This window comes from Homo sapiens, chromosome 4, assembly GCF_000001405.40.
Source record: "Homo sapiens chromosome 4, GRCh38.p14 Primary Assembly".
NCBI lineage: Eukaryota > Metazoa > Chordata > Mammalia > Primates > Hominidae > Homo > Homo sapiens.
This window is the reverse complement of record NC_000004.12, coordinates 54,008,997-54,028,924: the sequence shown is the minus strand read 5'-3', so window position 1 is coordinate 54,028,924 and position 19,928 is coordinate 54,008,997. Positions and strand designations below refer to the sequence as shown.

Here is a 19,928-nt window from a genome sequence, read left to right as displayed (position 1 = left end):
TCTTAATCTTCTGACCTCATGATCTGCCCACCTCGGCCCCCCAAAGTGCTGGGATTACAGGCGTGAGCCGCTGCGCCCAGTCGATGTTTGACTTTTGCACCTACTTAAATGTAATTTAAGATAGAAACACTTAGTTTATAATACCAGTTATTCCAAATGGCTAAATTCCTGATGTTTAACTTGAAAGATTTTGCTATAAAATGGAAAATATGTGTTGATATGCAATGAAATAATAGACTACAAGGAACAAATGAAGAGAAAGATAATTATTGTATACCGGCTATTAGCAAGGCACATTACATACATTCTCTTTTAATTTAATCTTCATAACACCCTATGTGGAAAATATCATGGTAACATCAGAAAGTTGAGTCCTTACTCACTCTTTACCAGTGATGGAGTTAATCAATTTACATGTACTGTATTCTTACAAAATTACAAATCAGATATTCAGATTATTTTAAGGATGAGAAAACTGAGGCTCAGAAGTCAAGTAACCTATTTGAGATCTCCCAGTTTATAAAGTTAAGCCAAACTAGAATTCCAATCTTACAGCTCAAAATTTCATGCTTTTCCTGCTATTTTAAAGAGCTACAAAAATCAAGCTATTTTTTATTATTAAAATTTGACTTTATACCTACCAGCAGAGAGAGAGGTTTTAGAGCTTTGGAAGGAATTTAAAAGATTTCATGAGTTAGGAAATTCAGGCCTATGGGTTATAATTTACCTAATTTGTCCAGTTGATTGATAAATGGTAACAATATCCAAGCATTATTATATTAACTTTTGCAGTACTTTAGTTGTTTAGCAGATTTTTCTTTGTAAGTATTTTTTCTTAATATTTAAATAAGTTTGTATTTCTTGAAGACACAAACAGTAAAGGAAAGAAACTGTAAAGCAGGTAAAGTGGGTATAGGAGAAAAATATACATTTTAAGCAGATTTTATACAAAGTTATAGTTGGACAACCAAGAGTTGATATATTGCCTTTGCTTCTGTTTTGCTTTTATAAAAACAAATGAAAATCAACATCCTGTCTTTGAAAAGTTATTTATTAGGTTCCTACTCCCTAGCAAATAAGTTTACATGACTTCTGGTAAAGTTATTTTTCTTCTAGTATTAGATCCTTTCTTGAAACTTGTGTATTTACTTTTAGAGAGATTGAGAATGACATGTAATGAGTGCATGTCCCATGCAGTAAAGATGGGACAGGAACTCTGAATGAAAGAACTGGGTTTTCTTTATCTAGCCCTAGGCATTTAATTTGTGGTTTCTTGCCCCTTCTTCACTATCTTCCCCATTATAAGATACAGAATAATGAAATAGGTTTGACCTTTTTGAAATCTTATTTCAGTCCCTTTACAAAAGGGGTCCTGCATAAAAGATTTCTCATAACTAGATGAATACATTTACTGCAGTTCCATTTTAAAGAATGCTTTGGCCTTGAAACTTAAACAGATTCTTATGTAAATTACTGCCATTATTATGAACACTAGTGACAATTTGTTTTTAATTAAAATTAAACCGCATTACTAAGTTTTCATCATAAAAGAGGATACTCATAAAAATGTAAACTTTGAGCCTTAAAAATGCAGAGGTAGCACTGTAAAGATATGCTAGAATGCTTAGAAAATGTGTTTTGTCAACAGCTGGCTGACATTCATTTCTCTGTAAATATTTAGAACATAGTATTGGTGTGGTGGTTTATAGAAGGATTTGCACCTATCTTCTGTGACCTGAGTTTTTAATATGAGATACTGTATTTTTCAATTCTAGGGTGTCCATTTGCTGTTTTTTAAAATAGATTCCAGTTTTCTTTTGAAATTCTTCGTTTTTTCATCCAGCTTTCTACTTTCTTTTCTTGAACACATTAATCATAGTTTTAGAGTAAGTTGATTATTCAAGGCCGATAGCCTTGTTAGTGGCTAAGAAAACTTGCATGTCATACATATGTTATTTGTCTCAGGATAATATCTGTAAAAAAGTTCGATTTACAAAAATTTTTCATTATAAAATCATGAATGGCCTTGAAATTAACAACAAATGTATGTAAAATATAATTGAAATGAAACCATTAAGATTTTAAAGTGAAAGGAAGAAGGGTGGATTTAGTGAAGTGACTGCATTAGTCAAGAAGAGAAAGGCATAAAAGTAGACAAGAAAGAGAAGTAAACAGATTAAAATGAAACTTAAAAGACAAAAACTGTCAGAGTTTGGCATACTAGGAAATAAAAAAGGTGAAGGGCAGAGGAGGAGGTGTATAAAGATTTATTATCTCTGTTTTCCAGCTTTGTTTAGTAGATGGATACTAGGGCCATTCCTTTATTCATCTCAGAATAATATCTGTAAAATATCCATAACATATCTGTAAAAAAGAAAAGTTCTTGACAAAAATTCTTTTTTTTTGAGACAGAGTCTCATTCTGTCACCCAGGCTGGAGTGCAGTGGCACACTCTTGGCTCACTGCAACCTCCACCTCCCGGGTTCAAGCAGTTTTCCTACCTCAGTCTCCCAAGTAGCTGGGGCTACAGGTGCACACCACCATGCCTGGCTAATTTTTGTATTTTTAGTAGAGTTGGGGTTTCACCATGTTGGCCAGGCTGGTCTCAAATTCCTGACCTCAAGTGATCCATCCACCTCCACCTCCCAGTGTTGTGATTACAGGTGTGAGCCAAACAAAAAAAAACAAAAAAATTGTTTTTTTGTGATAGTATTATAATAGTTCTATAGCATGATGAAAAGAACAGGAAATTGAAGGCCATTTAATCCTGGTTTCAGATCCGAGCTCCATCATTTCCTAGTATAGATTTACATTTCTTCACCTCTGTAAGCTTTAGTTTTCATATGTAAAAAGAAAGTAGTCCAAGCCGCCATATAGGCTTGTTGTGCAGATTAAGTAAGGTAATAAAAGCAAGACACAACATGGGATCAGACCCAAAGTGAGGATCCACAAATGCTGGTTCCTTATCTCTTCTTGTTTCTCCAGTTGTGTTATCATCCATCAGCAGGTGATTTTCTTTTACCCCTTTCTTCTTGTTTTTTAAAACAATTCCTATTTTTTTTTTTTTTTTGAGACAGGGTCTTACTCTGTTGCCCAGGGTGGAGTGCAGTGACACGTTCACTGCAGCCTTGACCTCCCAGGCTCGAGTGATCCTCCCACCTCAGCTTCCCAAGTAGCTGGGACCACATGTGTGCAGCACCATCACACCTGGCTGATTTTTGTAATTTTTGTAGACATGGGTTTTCACCATGTTGCTCAGGCTGGTCTCGAACTTCTAGGCTCAAGTGATCCGCCCTTCTCGGTATCCCAAAGTGCTGGGATCACAGGCGTGAGCTATTGCGCCCGGCCTTTACCCCTTTTCTACCTGTTGGTCCTAAGTGTCTCATGCATCCGTGCGAAGAGACCACCAAACAGGCTTTGTGTGAGCGACAAGGCTGTTTATTTCACCTGGGTGCAGGCGGGCTGAGTCTGAAAAGAGAGTCAGCAAAGGGTGGTGAGATTATCATTAGTTCTTACAGATTTTGGGATAGGCAGTGGAGTTAGGAGCAATGTTTTGTGGGCGGGGGTGGATCTCACAAAGTACATTCTCAAGGGTGGGGAGAATTACAAAGAACCTTCTTAAGGGTGGGGGAGATTACAAAGTACATTGATCAGTTAAGGTGGGGCAGAAACATCACAGTGGTGGAATGTCATCAGTTAAGGCTATTTTCACTTCTTTTGTGGATCTTCAGTTGCTTCAGGCCATCTGGATGTATATGTGCAGGTCACAGGGGATATGATGTCTTAGCTTGGGCTCAGAGGCCTGACATTCCTGTCTTCTTATATTAATAAGAAAAATAACATAAAATAGTGTTGAAGTGTTGGGGCAGCAAAAATTTTGGGGGGGCGGGTGGTATGGAGACATAATGGACGATGTTTCTCAGGGCTGCTTTGAACGGGATTAGGGGCGGCGTGGGAACCTAGAGTGGGAGAGGTTAAGTTGAAGGAAGATTTTGTGGTAAGGGGTGATATTGTGGGGTTGTTAGAAGAAACATTTGTCATATAGAATGATTGGTGATGGCCTGGATACAGTTTTGTATGAATTGAGAAACTAAACAGAAGTTAGAAGGTCTGAATAAAAGAAGGAGAAAAACAGGTATTAAAGGACTGAGAGTTGGGAGGACCCAGGACATCCAATTAGAGAGTGCCTAAGGGGGTTCAGCATAATTACTTGCTTGGTTGGCGAATTTTTGGGCTCTATCCTTGAGTTTTATTATGTTGTCATATACCAGGCCAGATTGATTTACAGAAAAACAACACTCTTTATTTAAAAATATACGGAGTCCCCTTTTTTTAGCAGTGAGTAAGTCAGGGCCTCGGTGATTTTGGAGAAAAAAGAAATGCAAAGCCAGCAATTGTTTGTTAAAGAAGGATTAGAAATGGCTAGGAGAGAGTGAGTGCGATTGATAGTGTGATAGAGATAGCTGGGGAGAGGTAGTGGGTGGCATAAGAACGGGAACAAGAATAAGAATGAGTATAAAAGTAAAGAATAAGACTTCATCAGGGTGAAAGTATTGGAGTGTGTTCTGTCAGCAAAGATCATCTATCCACTCCAAGAGGGAGGCAAGAGTGGTGGATTGGGGATAGATTTTCACGATGGAAAGGAAATGAGAGGTTTTAAGAGATGGGCTAGCGGCTTGTAACCTACATGGAAGAGGTTATGAAATGACGACAGAATAGAATGGGCCTGTGAGGCTGGAAGGAGATATTTTCCTTGGTCCAAGAACCATTTGCCTTGTGTAGGAAGACATTGATAGGTGGAAGTTTTAGTGGCAGAGTAGGTGGGAGTGACTGACGAGAAGGAGAAAAACTGGCCATGAGGGGCAGAAGTTGGAACGCTAGCTGCTTGTTTAGCTACCTTATCAGCATAAGCGTTGCCCTGAACGATGAGATCTGACACCTTTTGATGGCCCTTGCTTGCAGTGAATGACTCCAGCTTCCTTTGGAAGTAAAGCGGCCTTGAGAAGAGTTTTTATTAAAGAGGAATTAATGATGGAGGACCCTTGCACGGTGAGGAAACCTCTTTCAGCCCATATAACAGCACGGTGGTGCAGGATATGGAAGGCATATTTCGAGTCAGTATAGATATTGATGCGTAGTCCTTTTGCAAGAGTGAGGGCTCAGGTTAAGGCATGAGTTCGCCTTGCTGAGAGGTAGTGGAGAGGGGCAGAGCGGTAGCCTCAATGATAGATGTGGAAGATACTATAGCATAGCCTGCCTTTGTTGGTGAGTGGCGATTAGGCCTGGTGGAACTGCCATCAATAAACTGAGTGTGATCAGGATGGGGAAGAGGAAAGAAGGAAATATGGGGAAATGGAGTGAATGTCAAGTGGATCAGAGAGATACAGTCATGGGGGTCAGGTGTGGTATCCAGAATAATGTGGGAGGCCAGATTGAAGTCCAGGCCAGAAACAGTGGTAATTGTGGGAGACCCAAAGAGTGAGTATAGCTGAAGGAGCCGGGGAGCAGAAAGTATATGCATCAGGTGGGAGGAAGAAAATAGATTTTGGAAGTTATGAGAACTGTAGAGAGTGAGTTGAGCATAGTTTGTGATTTTTAGGGCCTCTAAAAGTATTAGAGCGGCGGCAGCCTCTGCACGGAGACATGATGGCCAGCCTAAAATAGTAAGGTCAAGTTGTTTGGACAGAAAGGCTACAGGGCACGGTTCCGGCTCTTGTGTAAGAATTTTGACCGCAGAGCCCAGTACTTTGGCTGTGTGTAATGAAAAGGGTTGGGATGAGTTAGGGAGAGCTAGCGTGGTGGCAGCTTCTAGGGCTGTTTTTAAGGAATGGAAAGAGGAGTGGCGAAAGGAATTAGGATCTATGGGGTCAGCTAGGTTTGCTAGGACAGAATAATGGGTTGTGGAGGGAGGTATTGAGGATAGAGTATATGGGTTTGGCACCACAGGGTGGCTAGGCAAGACAATTTGGTTGCTAAGGCACAGATCCTGAACTAACCTATAAGACTTGTCAGGTTTTTGACAAGGTAAAATGGGGGAATTGTAAGGAGAGTTTATAGGCTTTAAAAGGCCATGCTGTAACAGGCAAGTGATAACAGGCTTTAATCCTTTTAAATCGTGCTGTGGGATGGGATATTGGCATTGAGCGGGGTAAGGGTGATTAGGTTTTAATGGGATGGTAAGGGGCATGTGATCGGTTGCTAGGGAGGGAGTAGAGGTGTCCCGTACCTGTGCGTTAAGGTGGAGGGATACAAGAGGAAGATGTGAAGGAGGCTTTGGGTTGGGAAGAAGGGTGGCAATGAGGTGTGGCTGTAGCTTAGGAATAGTCAGGGAAGCAGATAATTTAGTTAAAATGTCTTGATCTAATAAGGGAGCTGGGCAGGTGGGGATAACTAAAAAGGAGTGCATAAAAGAATGTTGTCCAAGCTGGCATCAGAGTTGGGGAGTTTTAAGAGGTTTAGAAGCCTGGCCATCAATACCCACAACAGTTATGGGGGCAAGGGAAACAGGTCGTTGAAAATAAGGTAATGTGGAGTGGGTAGCCTCCATATTAATTTAGAAGGAGACGGACTTACCCTCCACTGTAAGAGTTACCCAGAGCGTCTGTGATGGTCCAGGAAGCTTCTGAGGCGATCGGGCAGCGTCGGTCTTCAGCCACTAAGCTGAGAAGATCTGGGAAGAAGTCAGTCAGAGAGCCTTGGGCCAGAGTTCCAGGGGCTCTGGGAGTGGCTGCCGGGCGAGTTGGACAGTCTGATATCCAGTAGGGTCCTGTACAAATGGGACACGGCTAAGGAGGAATCCCGGGCTGCAGGGCATTCCTTGGCTCAGTGGCCAGATTTCTGGCACTTGAAGCAAGCTCCTGGGGAAGAGGTTCTGGAGGAACCCCTGGCAGCTGCACTTCAGGTGTTTGGAGTTCTTGTGTGCTGGCAATGTAGCTGGGGTTTGTCTCACAGTGGAGGCAAGGAACTGGAACTTAGAAATACATTGCTACTTGGCTGCCTCTACTCTATTATTGTACACCTTGAAGGCGAGGTTAATTAAGTCCTCTTGTGGGGTTTGAGGGCCAGAATCTAATTTCTGGAGCTTTTTTTAATGTTGGGAGTGGGCTGGTTAATAAAATGTATATTGAGAATAAGACAGCCTTCTGGCCCCTGTGGGTCTAGGGCAGTAAAACGTCAAAGGGTTGTTGCCAAACGGGCCATGGACTGGGCTGCGTTTTTATATTTGATGAAAAAGAGCCTAAACGCTAACTGATTTGGGAGAGGTCGGATAAAGAAAAAGGAACATTAACCTTGACTATGCCTTCAGCTCCAGTCACCTTTTTAAGAGGAAATTGTTGGGCAGGTGGGGGAGGGCTAGTCGCGGAATGAAACTGTAAGCCAGAATGGGTGTGAGGGGAGTTGATAAAAAGATTATAGGGTCGGGGAGCAGAGGCTGAGGAAGAATTGGGACCTGGCTCAGCCTGTTGAGGAGCAGCCTGGGGAGGAGAGGTCATATGGGTCTGTAGAAAAGGAGGATTCAAAGGACTCAGAGCTTGGTGTGGAGACTGAAGGAACAGACAGGAGAGAAAGAAGAAAGATTTGGGATGAGTCGCATTGGGAGCAGAGACTAGGGAGGGACCAATGTGTAAAAGAATGCCTGGATGTCAGGCACCTCAGACCATTTGCCCATTTTTCGACAAAAATTATCTAGATCTTGTAAAATGGATTTTCTGGCTATTTAGAACCATTATCGAGTTTGTATTGGGGTCAAGCGGTATTGCAGAAGAAAATAAGGCATTTAGGTTTTAGGTCAGGTGTGAGTTGAAGGGGTTTTAAGTTCTTGAGAACACAGGCTAAGGGAGAAGAAGGGGGAATGGAGGGTGGAAGGTTGCCCATAGTGAAGAAGGTAAGTTTAAAGAGAAAGGTAGAGACACGGAGAAGCGGGGTGGTGGGGAGCAGCCCTGGGCTGCAGTGTGGGTGAGGAGCCAAAGCAGGCATCCCCGCAATTGACTTGCCACCATGGGAATGTGGGTGAATGACCAAGGCAGGCGTCCCTGCAGTGATCAGACACCAGTGAATTGTGGGTGAATAATCAGGCAGGCGTCTCTGCAATGATTAAACACCAAGGGAAGGCTGTCTTCCCGAGTCTGTGACTGGCGCCAGAGTTTTGGGTCCATGGATAAAATGTGTCTCCTTTGTCTCTACTAGAGAGGAAAAAGAACTGGAATTGGAAGGGCAGGGAGATTGAAGGGTAGCGAGAGAGGCTGGAGAAGAGAGTGAAAAGACCGCTTACCCGATTTGAAATTGGTGAGATGTTCCTTGGGCTGGTTGGTCTGAGGACCCGAGGTTGTAGGTGGATCTCCTCATGGAGTGAGGCGAGGACAGGGGACTGGTCTTCCGAAGGAGTCCCTCTGACCCGGGTCTTCAGCACCAAATGTCTCACGCGTCAGTGTGAAGAGACCACCAAACAAACTTTGTGTGAGCAAGAAGGCTGTTTATTTCACCTGGGTGCAGGCGGGCTGAGTCCAAAAAGAGAGTCAGCAAAAGGTGGTGGGATTATCATTAGTTCTTACAGGTTTTGGGATAGGCGGTGGAGTTAGGAGTGGTGTTTTGTGGCAGGGGGTGGATCTAACAAAGTACATTCTCAAGGGTGGGGAGAAATACAAAGAACCTTCTTAAGGGTGGGGGCGATTACAAAGCACGTTGATCAGTTAAGGTGGGGCAGAAACAAATCACAGTGGTGGAGTATCATCAGTTAAGGTTATTTTCACTTCTTTTGTGGATCTTCAGTTGCTTCAGGCCATCTGGATGTATACGTGCAGGTCACAGGGGATATGATGGCTTAGCTTGGGCTCAGAGGCCTGACAGTAAGCACTGATTCTTTCTTTTGTAATTACATATATTTTTAAAAATTCCTGATAGCCGTACTTTTTATTTTATTTGCATAGTGAAATTCCTTTGTCTTATGAACAGTTTTTCTAATATTCTGTGGTCAGTTGAAACTATATTTATTAATTTTTATCTCTTAATTTTTTGGATAATTTTTTTTTAACAATAATAGTGACATATTTGCTGCCCAAATTCAAGGAGACCCTTCCTGCACCCTGCCCCAACCCAAGCGCATTTTTATTTGACTAGATTATTGAAACCAAAAGAACCCTTTGAGACCGAGTGGGATGATTGCTTAGTGGAAATAGGTCAGGCAGAAGATGGGTCAGATGGGGACCTCAAAACTTAATTTTAGTTTTTTAAAATGTTAGTATTTTCTGAAATGGTACTCAGAGTTAGTAGATAACCCCCTTTAAATTGTGCATGTTTGTGTACATGTTTCTTTTTTTCTGCAGAGAGAGAATCCCTATCTTTCATAATTCATAACCAGTATAACCTAAACAAGTTAATATTCTCTCACTAGCCTAGATCGTAAACTTGATGAAATTCTGTTTAAGATTAGCACCTATTAAGACACTGCTCAGTACTAGAGGATATTTTTGATTCACAAAATTTTAGCAATTTTTTTTAGCGTATTTCTATCTAAAAATATTACTTTTAACAAATAGCACATGATACTTCAGTGGGTGTTTTAATATATCTAGATTATTTAAAAGTTAATGTTCATATTAAAATTTTAAAAGGTGCTTTAATGTACAGGAAAGGAATTTGTTTAAAAATCCTTTTGAGAAATCATATTCTAGTTTTTTTTTGTTTTTTGGTGAATCTAGGCTTTTCACGTAGCATAATACTGTGATATAATTATTTAATTTTCTGCACATCACTGGAATATAAAATTTCATATTAATCCAGAATGAGCAGAAGTGAATAATATAATTTCCTCTTAAGTTCTCTTATGTTAAAATAATTCATTTTAAATTATATATGGTTTCTCCCTAATAACTTACAGCTAAAGACATTGTTTTACTTAACAAATTCAATTTACACAGATGTCTAAAGATGAATAGCATTCTTATTTGAAAAATATAAGTTAAAAACAAGATTATGAATATATTCAAAACATTTTAGTTAAAGGTTAATTAATGCATTATAGATTTAAGAGTTTAAAATTTAAGTAGGGAATTGAACATTTGAAATTTTGCTTTCCCATTTTGTGATGGTATGAATAAATCCAATTCAAATACATTTTAATTATAGGTTTAAATAGGTGAACTTTTATAAATAGTTATTAGTGAGTATTCTGTACATTTTATTAGCATATCATAGCATATTTTTGTTCTAAAGACTGATAATACTATTTTATTGGGAAATATTAAGATAAACTTTGTTACAGTTTCTACACTTAACATTTTTTTTCTTTAGCTCTCAATACTCTAAAATTTATGAGATTTCCATTGGTTTTATTAGTAATGTCTAGAAAACCACTTCTTTGTAAAACCATGTTTTCAAACAATTGATTGTGATTAAATGAGTCATTGGGAATTAGGAAACTCTTAAGTAACCAGTGGTGGCAAAGTAGGAGATTAATACCTTAAAGATTTTCTAAATGGCTCTTTGCTGTCCTGGAAGACTAATTTATATCTAATGGCATTTAATTTGTTTATAGGGAATAATATTAATAATTTATTCCTAAGAAAGTTACAGTATTTAGGAAAAATTACAAAAATACATAATAATTCAAATTTGAATTTTCAGGAAATCTTAGTTTTCTATTGCAGTAATTGAGTTTGTCTAGGTGTATGTGTGCTTTGCTGTTATAAGCTTACTTTAGATGCTTCTTTGGAAGGTATGTCTTATTTGGGTATGTCTTATCTAATATTGCTGATTAATCATTACCATATTAGCCATTTTATGAATTACTGAGGCCCTTTTAGTTCTCTTTCCGTTTTCATGTTTTTCCTATTTTCACAATTCTACCAAAAATCTAAAAGGGACCAAAGGCAATATAAATAGAAGCCAAAATTTCTATTCTTATGTTACTACTACTTGTTGCTCAACTTAAGTCTGTTTAATACCTATTCAGTAATTGAAATGATATTTTTTAAATCTCCTGTTAATTTTTACTTTCACAAAGCTGAATGGCTGTATTAAAACTAGTTCACCAATGAGAAAAATATAACCACTAAGGTGTGGAAATGAAGAAATGTGTGTTTTGTTTTTGTTTTTGTTTTTGTTTTTTTAAAGAAAAAGGGTTATTTAAAGTGAGCTGAGGGAGATGGGTGGGATCCAGATGCTTGGAGCTGTCTACTTCCAGACCAGGTTAGTAACATGACGCCATTCACACAAAAAAGTTGTTTTTCCTGCATATTGTGAGTTGGTGGTCTTGGTCCTTTTAATTAAAGATAAGAATACTTGATAAAATTACATTTCTTGTTGATCATCTTTTGCAGAAAGACGGAGAATTACATTGGTAAAGAACCGCTAACCTGTCCCCTCACCCCCAGGGTGTGAGCAGTGAAAAGGATTAAGGCCCACTGTAGGGAAGCTTACACTAAAGCCTGCACTGCCCCTTCCCCTGTTCTTTCAGCTAAATAGATTTTTAGTTCCCATGACTATCAATCTGGTGCTTTTCACAAGCACTAAATTCTCTTAAAGAAAATTAAAGATGACTTATTTTTTTAGAAACTGGCCTGGAATACTGAAAGATGGTGTTTTTTGGTACTTTGTTTCATGTTGACAGATCCCATACATATTTTTTTCTGATGCATGTTAATTTGCTTCAGCTTGTTTTGAATTTGGAGTTGAAATAAACATTTAAAAACCAAGGACAGGTTGTTATATGATTAGATTTGCTTGTCCACAGTTAGCAAGTGTAGAGTTCGACACTGTTGAATCTTACATTTCATTAGAAATAGCTACCTGACAGCCTTGTGGACATAAACTCTTTAACTTTTATCTAGATGACTACAATTATAAAGTGCTTTCTTTTAAAAGCTTTTAAGTAGCTTTTATAAATGCTGAAGTGTCATTTTTTTTAGTATCTGCCAAATTGGTATTGTATTTAATCTTGAAAATATATTTTGATTTTCTTAACTAACAATAATTGCATAGTATTAAACATTCTCAGTAGCTCAACCTTTTTTTTTTCTATTTAATTTGAGCTTTTGTTGTTACTAACAAATAATTTGTGGCACAGTTTCTTTCCTTTTTTTTTTAAATGACTGCTAGAATCTATATACTTGTCACCTTAGTGTGCTAGAAATGTTCCACTCAAATCAAGGGTTCCTTTCTGGTTTTGTATGTTCTCACCTGCTCCTCACTGTAAATCATTGAGATGTCAAGTGCAATGATTAATTAAGCTGCACGTGCAAGTGCTTTTTTTTTCACCTGTCAAGCAGGAAAGAAGTCTTATAGCAAAATTAGATGGTGCTAATTCACAGCTTTTACTTCAGACTGTGAAGTGTGTAGAAATATTTTATATTTATATGCTTATTCAGAATGTGGCATATCAGGGCTTGTTTGTTTTATAATTCTTAAATATTGTAAGATACAATTATTATACCAAGCCCTATCATTAAACTCCTAATTATAAACAGAGAAGAAATTCAGAATTCCTACTTAAATATTTTGGAATTCAAGATTTATACTTTGTAATTATCTTTTATTCAAATACTAGTAGTTGATTTAAGTTAAAGTAAATATTTTTAAGTTTTAAAATTGTGTGTATGTATGTGTCTATATATCATAATGAGATCTATTCTTATTATAGCATGGGTTTAAACTTCTGATGAAATGATGGTGGTAACTACATTTTTTTCTTTAAGTAATAAGTATTTGCAGAATGTAGTATTAAGCTTTTGGGTACTATTTTATACATTAATATAAAACAGTGGGCTTGGAAAACTTGTTCTGCTCTAGTTCTTTCATCATCCACCCACCCCCAAAATCATCAGTAAAAGTAAAACCTCAAATTGTATAGTAATCTTAATCTATTATTAAAAGGCCCTAGAAAGAAAGATTACAAGGTAGATTCAGGTTTTGAATCGGTTTTGCCATTGGTTTAGCAGCGGGTGGGCAGGCAGATGCCTGCTCAGAGTAGAACCTATTGCCATTTTTCACCATTGATAGAGTAGCCTTTCAGAGTCAATGAGCTCTGTCAATGTGAGCTTGTCAAGGCTACAACTTCATAGACCTGAGAGGCGGTTTGAGAGGTCAGCCCTTTTCAGGTTCGCTGTGATGCAAATGAACTTTAATGCTTAAACAACTATTGGAATTTTTATGTCTGCTCCTTGTTCTTTTTTCTTCACAAAGTCATTGACGAGACATTCAGTGCTTTTTAAATTGGAAGTTGCATTGTGCTAAAGACCTAGTACAGATTTACGGAGGGCTGAAAGCAGTTAGATCATGTTCTTTTCATGGTGCGATTAGAATCAAATCGATTTCCCTACAGCCTTCAGCATTCAGATGGCAATTTTAACAAAGCTTGGGGGCTAGACAAGGGACAAAACGACCGAACTGAATGTTAATTACACTCTGCAGCCTTATTTTCTTTTGATTTGGGGCTGACTGGCAACTAAATTAACAAAAAGTGTGACCATAACTGCTGCCCTATTTTCATTTAAAAGGAGAGCTGCCTCTAAAAGGCTATCTTTACAAAGAAACAAGTGAGGTCTGCTGATCATTGTTAACAAGGGCACTTTTTTTTCTTTAAAATTCTTGCCAAAAAGACTCTTCAGAAAAAGTAATGTAATAAATTAGTCATTGGCATATTATTACCCAGGGAAGTAGTTGATTTTCCGATTTTTATGACATAAGCTTGGAAAATGTAAGGCAGTAGTCGTAATTCATTGGTAGTTATGAATTATAATTGGCATCTATGTGACTTTGGTGTGTCTTTAGCATGTTTAATATGCTAAAAGGTAATGTAACTATTTAAAGTAGATACTTTAAATACATATTAAAATTTTATTATGTAACATTAAACTGTTCAAACCCAGCTTGATCCTAACAGTTTTTCACCTAGCTAATCCTTGCTTGACACGCAAATTTTCATATTTGATTACTAGTACTTCTTTATACCACATTAATAGTGGTAAGATGTTTTTTTCTTTCTCTTGCAAGAAAAGTGCAGCTGAACCAAGTTGCAAGTTGATCCTGGTGGCAACACTGTCATTTTTGCACCTGCAGCTGTGTCAGTCTCATCCTAACACCTGGCACCATGAATTACCCTCTTTTATTCATATTCTCAAGCAAGAAACATTTCATGCAGCATAGCATATCTTGCAAAAATCAACTGAAGTAAATTCTCAGTTGATTCCTGAAACAGTAGTATTGAATTAAGAGTTTGATTTTACTATCAGATGACACTTTTATGTTGGTTTAAATAAAATTTTGGCTCTGTTCAAAAAATCTATTGGTAGAATAATCAGTAAGCTGGCTTTTAAATATGGGCATTATTTTAAGCATGATGTGAAAATTAATTTGATTTTATAACTCATTGATTTTTTTAATATTCCAATTTTTTGTTTTGGAACTTACTGAAAGGCCATTTGCATTTTGTTAACTAATATTTACTTTTGTTTTAAAATATGTATTAAGGAACTTCCGTTACTATTTAAGTATTGGAAACATTTTTGAAAGAAGTGGGAATTTAATTTTATTTGGCAGATGACATTAGCTTTTTAAACCTTGATAGTTTTAAATCAGAGGCTAGTAAAAAAAGATTCGTATGATAAAAATAAAGGCATATCTTTTTTAAGAAAGAGTACTCTTTTGTGTTCAGGTTACCATTTAGTGCTTAGAACATCGATAGTGATGCACACCACACTATACTCAGTCACTGTCTTATACCTCTCCCCTTTTCACAGAAAAAGCAGCTGCAAAACAAAGTTTTCTAAAACCAGTCAAGAGTAAACTTTTTTCTCATTTGTCTTCCAGACACGAAGATCGATTGAGAAGTTATTAGAATGGGAAAACAATAGGTTATACCACAAGGTGAGTACCACAGGGAGCAGCTTCGTACTGTTGGGGTCTGAATTGCACAGTATGGAAACAGATGCTTTTGTTGAACTAAAAATATGAAAGGTGGACAAATGGGTTAGTCTGTGTGCTGCAATAAAATAGAGCTCATTTTTCTTCTTTTACTTTCCTACTTGTCTAGCTGTGCTTGCATTGGAGACTGAGCAAAAGGAAATGTGAAACGAATAACATGATGGAATATGTAAGTTAAAGGGCTGTTTTGTGAGTTTCTCTATTAAATGATCATTTATTTTGCTTCTGATCTTATTCTTTCCATGATTATTAATCAGCAAAGGTGTCAGGAGCTTAATCTCCTGAGTGCAAGGATTTTCTACGGTTCACAGATGCATGGTTTCATGTGCAAGACTGATTTATAAAGTTATGAATGACTTGAAAACAAGGCTTCACTGTGTTCTGAAAAATAATAAATTAATTGCCAAGATAAAATAGCCTGAACATGTGTTGATGGAGTGTGAAATTTTAGATGCTGTATAAAGAATAACCACAACTTTGGTTACGCAGCAAGTCAGATATGGCTTTTTTATATAATGCTAATCAAGTTTCCAAGTATGGAAGAAAACCTTTCAGCCAAGCCATTGGAGCTTAAGAAACCTTTACCCTTTATAGATTTTAACTGCCCGTACCTCAGTGCCCTTTAAAGAATCTCTTTTAAAGTGTTATTAGAATACTGCTTTGTAAAAATTAAAAGTAAGCAGGAGATGAGATGTTGATCATCTTGTGTTTACTTGTTAAAAAATATCTAATTTGGCATATATATACAATGAATTTTAGAACTTACTCAGCATGGGATTTAATTTACTGACTCCATGATTTACTTGAACAGTTTTTCTCCTTTTGAAAATTTCAGAATACTCTAGAAAATTAAGAATTTTAATTCTCTTTTGAGCTTGGATATTTTATTTTAAATATGGCCAGGTTATTACTTTAAAAGAAAAGATCTAAGGAAAAGTTAATAGTTGAAAATAAAACTCAGAGCCTTTGTGAAGTACCTGTTACAACATTTCTGAGGAATTTTGTCTATTCTTTAAAACAATATAGCCATCATAGATGTGTGCGTGTGTATGTGTAAAATATTGATTAAAACAGTGTTTAGTTGTAAATTATCATAAAATCATTTTTGTCTGTTAGCATTTTCCTGTTCTTTCATTATCCCACAGTCAAATCCTATTTCTAGCCTTGAACATAAAAAATATTTTTAAAATGTCTTAGACTAGCTTTATTCAATGAACCAAATAATGTAGATTTTATCTTTACTACATCAAACATGTTAATGTATGATGATGAGAAAGACACTTGATACTTCTTTATAATCATAACACATTTGAGTAACTCATTTTGAGGTGAGGAGACTACTCTTGTATTTTCATCTTAGATAGAGGGTTTATGTATATATTTTGGGGAGAGGGATGGATAGGAGATGTAAAGAATTTAGTGAAAAAAATATTTACTACATTTATAACACAAACACTAAGCTTAAAACTGAGGTATTAATTTTTTCATGCATTTCTAAATTTACTTTGGAAAGGAAAACATAAAAGTTATCCCAATGCTATGAATTCCAGATAGAACTATATGACTATAATTTATTCATAAAATAATTTATAACCTTCCAAAACATTCTGAACTATATGCTTTGTTTGTCAAATAAGTTTCCTTGAATTTTTAGATAATTAAGCACTTCTGCTAAAGCCATTATATTATTTTCACTCCATCATAGAAGATACCCAGAAGAGTAGTAAAGATAAAATAAATATTTCAATTGCCAGGAAAAAGCTGGGTGTAGTGGGCATGCCAGTAGTCTAGCTGGGGAGGCTGAGGCAGCAGGATCACTTGCGTCTAGGAGTACAAAGACAGTTTGGGTAACATAGCAATACCCACCTCTCTTTAAAAAAAATAATAATAAGCTGGGGAGAAAAAATGTGTTCTGCTGGATTTTCTTAGAGTATATATATATATTTGTGATAGTTGAAAGTGAGAATAATGTAGCTTAAAAAATTTATAAAAATGAATTTTAAAAGTTAAACTAGCAAATAAAATTCATTTTATCTAATGAATTTGGGCCTTTTTAACCATGTGTCCCTCTTTTCTTCAACTTTTCTTTAACTTACAGGAATTTAATTTTGTTAAAAGAAAATAATTATCCTTGATTATAATTTGAACATTGGAGATACTAAAAAATATATATATATATATTCCACCTTGGCACTAACTTTTCTTTGTTCAGATATGGTAGAGATGGATGATTTAGAATAAATGAGACAAGTGGCCAGTCTCTATGTGTGGCTTCTGAAGGAAAAATTTGTAGAATATATTATTTAAAAACTAATAGTTCAAATGTAGGCAAAGATAGCCTTTATTTTATGTTATGTATTAAAAGTGTATATTATAAAGTGTGGGGATGCCCATACCTGGGGACTAAAATTATAAAGACTGATTGAGGACATACTTGAAATACAAAATTATTTATTTAATGTTGACTCCTAAGTAGTTTAAACATTTAATTGTCAAATTTTAAAGCTGCAAAGAATCTTGTTATCTAGTTCAATGCTTTTATTTTATAGATAAGAAACCTGAGAAACAGGAAAATCTAGCTCAAATGAAGAAGCTAGTTGGGAGAAAGTATTTTAACAGGGAGCTAGTGAATATTTTGTAGGCAAATCACAGGTCAGGAGAGTGGCAAATGTGACAGCTAAGCCTTAGTGCAGGATACCTAGAGTAGGACAGGAATATTTTTGAGCCAGGTATAGAAGTGTATCTTCTTTATTGAGGCAGATCAAAAGCCAGGAGAACTGAAGAGTGAAAATGAAGATTCCTGGCCCAGACAGCTAATTTGTAGAAGTATTGAAATCTGGAGGTCATATCAAGCAAGACACAGTTTCTGAAAAAGAATGATGAGTTCACTAGACTTAGAAACTTTTAAAATCAAATAATTTTTAAATCACCATCTATTTAATACAAATTTGGAGCAAAAGAAAGAGTTGACTGTAATTTAAGAAAATTCAAATTTGGAAAAATTAGCTCTGGTCACTTTGTGTAATTCTGTGTTACCATATTTTGTTTTTGTTGGTTTTCCTTTAGTTTCCTATTAAAAGGCCTTTTGGAACAAATTTTAGCCTTTAATTTTGCTAACCTAAGAAGAAATGGACTTTTTAAAAAATTAAGAGATAAAGGACCTTTTATCTAAAGATTACATATTCTGGTAGAGTAAAATGAGAGCAACTCTAGAACTTAGAGAAGACTCATGTAGTTGGGTTGATTAAAAAGGAGAAAGTCTAAAGAAAAATGTTGGGTGAGCTGCAGTCACGTAGGGTGGTATAAAGGGCAAGGCTTTGGAGTTAAGACAGTCTTTTATTCAAACAGTGACTCCACATTCAATTGTGATACAACTTCTCTGGATCATCAGTTTCCTCATCTGTGAAATAAGGATTATAATACTTGCCTCATAGAAAAGTTGTTGGGTTTAAAGAGACCCAATGTAGTATGGAACACCTGGTATACAGTTAGTTCTAAGTAAATACTAGCCTCTTTTCTCATGAGTGCAGGGGAGCGTGCATGTATGCATGTTTGCTCCTCCAGTGTATCAGGGGCACTATCTATATCACCCTTCTCAGACTTTGGTGATTTTACTTGCTTATTTGTCTTCCTTTTCATAGAGCCAAGGTATTTCGTGTATTTGGTAAAGGTCCAGAAATAAAAAGAAAAATTCTCAGTGATGGAACTCTGCATTATCAGATAAAGATCTGTTTTAGTAATGCAAAGTTGCGTTTTAAAATGTGAATGGATTTTCAAAAAAATTGTGAAAGCATATAATTGAAGTTTTAAGAAAAAATTTTGTTTAAATCTTTTAAAACCTTTTTCTTCTCCTTTTACAGGTCATCCTCATAGAATTTTTACCAAAGACACCGATTTTTCGACCAGATTAGCATTTACTTTATTTATAGAGACTTTCCAAGTATGTTGTCTTTCCAATGGTGCCTTGCTTGGTGCTCTCCTGGTGGTGACATAACATTGGTTCTACAGAATCGTGTGGTGTTTTTTTTGTTTTTGTTTTTGTTTTTTTTTTAAATAACCGCATGTTCTAAGTGTGCATTTTTGTCAATCTTTGCAACAGTTATTTCATACAGATGTTTAATACTTAAGTTATTGTGCTCTTTTCTGTTATGTATTCTGATTTTCAAGGATTACTTTTTTGTATTATCAAAAAAATACATTTGAACTTAGCATAAAAAGTGGCCAGCCTTTTTTATTTTGTCACCAAGGTACACACAGTCCTTTATTTATAAATTCCTTAACAGAGAAAAACACCTTTGTAAGGCTCAACTTACCTATTCCAGCAAGCACACTTTTTCTGTCATTTTTTCTTTCTTTTCAAATTTGATATTGTCATTATTTTAAAATAGTAAGTTTTCTTTAATAGTCTTTTGGGACCTAACATACCCTTTCTCATACAATTCCTAATGCTCTGTTTATGGCAGATAATCTGTAATGTTATGAAGACCTATCAAAAAGTTTTAAAAGTATTTCTGTCTTCAAAGGTAGTAAGACAGGATTAAATTTTTATTAGAATAGACAAATCAGTGAATGGTATGCATGTATCTAGTGGTTACTAGAACTCAGGATCACACAATATAGTAGCATCACGATCTGTGTATATTTTTGATCAAGATGATAATAATGGCCTTACTTGGGTTTTTATCGTTTATCAAATCTTACATACAAAAGAGTGGAAGTATTCCTTTACAAAATTTCTAAGGAAAATATTTCTTCCAATCTATCACAATTATAGAATGGATATATGTTTCTGAAAAGTTTTTGAAAGAAAGCAAAAGTTCTAGAACTAAAAGTAAGCTGGTATTTAATATCCCGTTGATATTTAGAAAAGATTGTTAATAAGAAATGGAGGATGCATTTAGTACTATTTTTATCCACTAGTTCACTTTCAGTACAGTTATGTATACTTGTTTTGATTGAGAGTGTGACATACATGTTAAATCAGATTAGCTTGTTTCTTTTAAATATAC

The 19,928-nt window shown here is 36.2% G+C and overlaps 1 protein-coding gene across 3 annotated transcripts in view, besides 3 other annotated features; it reads left to right on the top strand.

Annotated features, from left to right (window-relative positions):
- Positions 1–19,136, top strand: part of CHIC2 (cysteine rich hydrophobic domain 2) — an 82,091-nt gene extending 62,955 nt beyond the window's left edge. For all 3 annotated transcript variants that reach the window (XM_047450063.1, XM_006714037.5, NM_012110.4), the window contains 3 exons: positions 14,806–14,862; positions 15,029–15,088; positions 18,780–19,136. In XM_047450063.1, coding sequence (XP_047306019.1) covers positions 14,806–14,862; positions 15,029–15,088; positions 18,780–18,830 — 168 coding nt within the window. In that variant the 3' untranslated portion in view covers positions 18,831–19,136. The remainder of the gene's footprint in view (positions 1–14,805; positions 14,863–15,028; positions 15,089–18,779) is intronic.
- Positions 12,633–13,234: an enhancer, noted in NCBI's record as "OCT4-NANOG-H3K27ac hESC enhancer chr4:54881858-54882459 (GRCh37/hg19 assembly coordinates)". NCBI's record gives its function as "activates a minimal SCP1, AML or CMV promoter by ChIP-STARR-seq in primed H9 embryonic stem cells {active_cell/tissue: H9 hESC(primed)}" and the evidence as "EXISTENCE:reporter gene assay evidence [ECO:0000049][PMID:30033119]".
- Positions 12,633–13,870: a biological region, named in NCBI's record as "VISTA enhancer hs687".
- Positions 12,637–13,870: an enhancer, noted in NCBI's record as "VISTA enhancer hs687". NCBI's record gives its function as "enhancer in: neural tube[6/6] | forebrain[6/6]" and the evidence as "EXISTENCE:transgenic organism evidence [ECO:0001131][PMID:17130149]".